The sequence below is a fragment of the Homo sapiens genome, chromosome 12 (genome assembly GCF_000001405.40).
Source record: "Homo sapiens chromosome 12, GRCh38.p14 Primary Assembly".
Taxonomy (NCBI): domain Eukaryota; kingdom Metazoa; phylum Chordata; class Mammalia; order Primates; family Hominidae; genus Homo; species Homo sapiens.
The window spans coordinates 32,786,218-32,790,754 of record NC_000012.12 but is presented as its reverse complement, the minus strand read 5'-3'; the positions used below and the strand labels follow the sequence as shown (position 1 = coordinate 32,790,754).

Sequence of the window (4,537 nt, the reverse complement as noted above, 5' to 3'; positions counted from 1 at the left end):
TGAGACCAAAGTAGTGTTGCTTGCATTGGCGTCTGTGTATATCTGGTTTATTTGTGTATCTTGGAATATATGGTATGATTGACATAAAATTTGAGGATTTAACCTTATAAACTTCAATTACTAAGGGTTTGATACTTTGTAATTAGTTATATTTTCCCCTTAATTAAAATCCTAAATTTTTACCAAGAGACATTTCCTGTGAGAATGGTGGGACTAGATGGTGACCTGACCATAAAAATGAAGACACATGCAGACGTGTTAGCTGCGGTTAGATTTTAGTATATTATTGGGTGATTCTGTGACTGTGAAAAGACAGACTACGTTTGATTTCCATGTGCTGCTTTGTTCACTCTGTTTGCAAACACCTCACTACTTTACAATTTGTGAACACCTCTCAGGGAGGTTCTTCTGTGAATGAACAGTTTTGATCACAGGTCTATACATAAATGTGTTTGTTTTCCTATGTGTCCCAGACAGGGCCCATGCCTTCAGAGAAACTAATGGGCAAAGCTGGGCCTTTTTGTTTATTTGTTCCAAAGGGCTGCTCTCTGTCAAGAATTCTTAATGGTCTTCTGGAATGAAGGGGGTTGCTGCCCTAGATTTCCATCACTGGAAACGTTTGTGTAGATCTGATGGCAATAACCAAAGGGTTATCTGATAAAATAGAGAGGGGATTAACATGTCAAGTGGGAGAATAAGCAGCAGGACTAGATAAACCACTATAAAACCAATTTAATCACCTTCTGAAGAAGCAATTTCTTAGAAGAAAACAGGAGATGGGAGATATATATATATATACACACACACACACATACGTTTATATATAGACACCTACATATATATATATATGTGTGTGTATGTGTATGTGTGCCTATATACTATAGTTATAAAATGAGATTTCCCCTAAATAAAATGTCTAATGAACTTACTGCTTTGGAATAAGGAGGACTTCAGTATGTGTGTACATTGAACAAAATTGCAGAAGAAGCCTCAAATCACAGAATCTCAGGATTAAGAGGGAATTTAGAAGGCATTTGGTCAAATCCTCCTCAAAGTATCATCTTGCATGAAAAAGATTCAGTTCTTATTAATGTGACAGAAAAGAAAAACATACAGTCATACACTCAACTAATGCTCAACATGACCATATAACTGGCTCTTTTCAAGACTCACTGTTGGATTAAAGTATTTCTTGTGGGAGGGAAAATAGATAAGGGAGCAAACTTTTCAAAATAAAATTCTGCTTTAAGTTTCATGTTTTAGTTTATAGTGATACTGACAGTTTCATCACTTATGAAGTAAATGTTAACCTTTGAAGGACTATAAGAAAAACTCTTTGTGATATGATGTTCAGGAAAGAGCTCAAAAATCCCAAGCATTGGCATAAGAATTGTTGAAAATATGAGCAGAAGGGAAAGTGCCCTGAAGGCCCTAGTCTGGGAGACTCAGTGAAAGGATCCAGCAGTCCTTAGCCTGAGAAGGGTGCTGTGTCACCTCTCTGTACATATTTGAAAGCCCACTGTAGAGAAGATGATAGGCTTGTTCTGGCATAACACAGAGGATGAAACCAGGATCAATAGGGGGAGGCTGTTATGAGACTAGCTTTGATAGGGTAATAGTGGACATATATTGAGTACTTCTCACAGCCTCATGAAATCATCCTTTTCTTTTTCTTTTTCTTTTTTTTCTTTTTTTTTTTTTTTTTTTTTTTTTGAGACAGAGTCTCGCTCTGTGGCCCAGGCTTGAGTGTAGTGGTGCCATCTCGGCTCACTGCAAGCTCCGCCCCCCAGGTTCAAGCAATTCTCCTGCCTCGGCCTCCCAAGTAGCTGGGACTACAGGCGCATGCTACCACGCCCGGGTAATTTTTTCTGTTTTTAGTAGAGACAAGGTTTCATCTCGTCTTGATCTCCTGATCTCGTGATCCACCCCACTCAGGCTCCCAAAGTGCTGGGATTACAGGTGTGTGCCACCACACCCGGCCTACTTGTTAACATTTTAAGAAGCATGAGAAAGAAAACCTCGAAGCAGACAGAGGTTAAGTCATAGCTGGAAAGTACAGAGGGGCTTTGTGAACCTAGATGGTTTGGCTCCTCTCTGGGAGTCCCCTGTGAACCAAGAATGAACAATCCATGTCTCCGTGCTGGTGAACAGTGGAGGTCTCTTTGGCTTTGCTATCTTTAGAGAGTAAAGAGTTCAGTATGACATCATGGTTAAGAGGGCTCATTCTAGAACAGCCAGTCTGCGCTCAAATTGTGGTTTCTCCACTTATTAGCTGAGGCACATCTCTTATTCTCACTGAGCCTCAGCTTTCCTTATCTGTAATGTGTGAGTGACAGTAGGATTTACCTCATTGGGTTGTTTTGAGGGTTAACTGTGTTAATAAATACAAAGCATTTGAAACAGTGCCTAATAGTATCTACTCAATAAATGCTGATACGGTTTGGCTGTGTGTCCCCACCCAAATCTCATCTCAAATTATAATCCCCACATGTTGAGGGAGGGACCAGGTGGGAGGTGATTGGATCATATTGGATCATAAGGGTGGTTTCCCTCATCCTGTTCTGCTGATAGTGAGTTCTCATGAGATCTGATGGTTTTATAAGGCAGTTTTCCCTGCTCTTACTTGCTCTCTCTCGCCTGCCACCATGTAAGACATGCCTCTTCCCCTTCCACCATGATTGTAAGTTTCCTGAGGCTCCCCCAGCCATGTGGAACTGTGAGTCAATCAAACCTCTTTCCTTTAAAAATTTCCCGGTCTCGGGTATTTCTTGATAGCGGTGTGAAAACAAACTAATACAAATGCTAACTAAATTACTTGCAATTTCCTGGTTTGGAGGTCTTTGCTTTTCATTTTAAGTTCATCTCTTGTGAATTTCTCTTTGTGGATATGGCTGGTTCAGTTAAAAGCCCCAATAGAAGGCCAGGTAGAAATGAGGAAAACAAATATGGCCCAGGCAAGTGACTCTGAATGTCCGTTCTTCAGAAAGTGAGTCCTTTGTGGGTAGTTAAGTGTTACATGAAAAAATAAGTATGTTCTTTATGAAAAAAAGCATAGTTATACAAAGATCAAAAGATTCTTGACCATGGCATGACTTCTCAGAATGCCATGAGTGCACTGTAATTGTAAAATCTCCAAGGAGGGACAGCTTATGCTGCATGTCAGAGACCTGTTCTTTGAAGCTGTAAGCCCTTTTTTTCTTAGACAACTCTTGAAGCTATGCCGCTGCTGTAAACTCTGACCAACATCCACCTGTGCCATACGCAAGAGGACAAGGGGTGTTTATCTGGCTCTCAGTACAGTTCATCAAGCTCCAAACATTCCACCTTCAGAGAGCCATGTCCAAAGGCCAGAAGAATAAACCTTTCTTGAGCCCTTTTTTATAAGTAAATTTTTCTAGAAATCTCCATCAAACATCTTTTATTTCTTATTGCCCAGAATTGCATTGCACATCATTCCTAAGCCAGTTTCTGGTGAGAAAAGTGCAACTACTATGCCTTTAAGCCAATTACATTTCACCGAAGGCTGGACCTACCTTCCCTGAGGCTCATGGAGGGTTTTACTGAGCAAGGGGGGAAAGAATGGCTGTAGACTAGTCAGCCAACATTGATAACTGGATGTAGTTCAGAGAGATACTCAATGAAGGAATAATTCAACTTTTTTTTTAACAAATTGATTTCACCTGGCCTATAAGAGCACCTTGGTTTTTTTCAAACCCTGCAGGTGTGTCTACTGTAAGTTTTTCTACTATGATTGTTGTGTTGCATTTAGGACCCAGTCCATGAAAATCTGTGGGTAAAGAATGATGGGCAAGCTAGGAACTGCAGTTAGCCCAGTGATTTCAGGGAGAATAATAAAAGTGATGCTCAGTTTTACAACAGGGAGTGGAAAAGTCATCTCAGAAGCTATGGTGCCTCTTTTTCATTCTCTCCTTTGTTTGACATCCACCATTTCTCACCTTTAAGTTGTAATTATGGACCCAAAGTTGTACTTTCATTGACAGAATCATTCTGAAAGAAAGTCGGCCTGCGCCTGAGGTTGTTGGATAGTCTAGTTTCCCCACTGAGACATCAGCCCTGGCAGTGTAACCCAGTGGAGAGAACGTGAATTTGAATTCTGACTTTGTCTCTGGCTGTGTGACTCTGCAGGTAACTTTAATTTTCTGGGTGTCCATTTTACCTCAGTTCTTCGTAGGATTGTTAAGGGAATAAAATGAGATGATGTTGTCAAAATGTCTGCCACCTGGGCACTCAAGAAAAGGTAACCATTACTTCCTCTTGTAGATCTGGCTGCCACCCAGGGACCCCCAGGCTTCAACATCTGCCTCCTGCCTCTTCCCCCCACCCCTGACCCTACCACTACCACCACCCGTTTTATTCCCATGCTTTCCACCGGGTCCTAGGGATCATCTTCGAGCAGAAAGCAAATTCCACAGTGGCAAAACAGGAAATGATGAGGGGGTGGGGGAAATGTACCTGCAGAATCTCCTCATTCCCAGCAGCCTCTCCTCATGGCTCCAGGTTTCAATCACTTCTCTTG

At 41.3% G+C, this 4,537-nt stretch overlaps 1 annotated feature.

The window, feature by feature from the left end:
- Positions 3,338 to 4,537: an enhancer, noted in NCBI's record as "BRD4-independent group 4 enhancer chr12:32939152-32940351 (GRCh37/hg19 assembly coordinates)". NCBI's record gives its function as "activates an origin of replication core promoter dependent on BRD2, P300/CBP, MED14 and CDK7 cofactors, and independent of BRD4, by STARR-seq in HCT116 cells {active_cell/tissue: HCT116}" and the evidence as "EXISTENCE:reporter gene assay evidence [ECO:0000049][PMID:35650434]".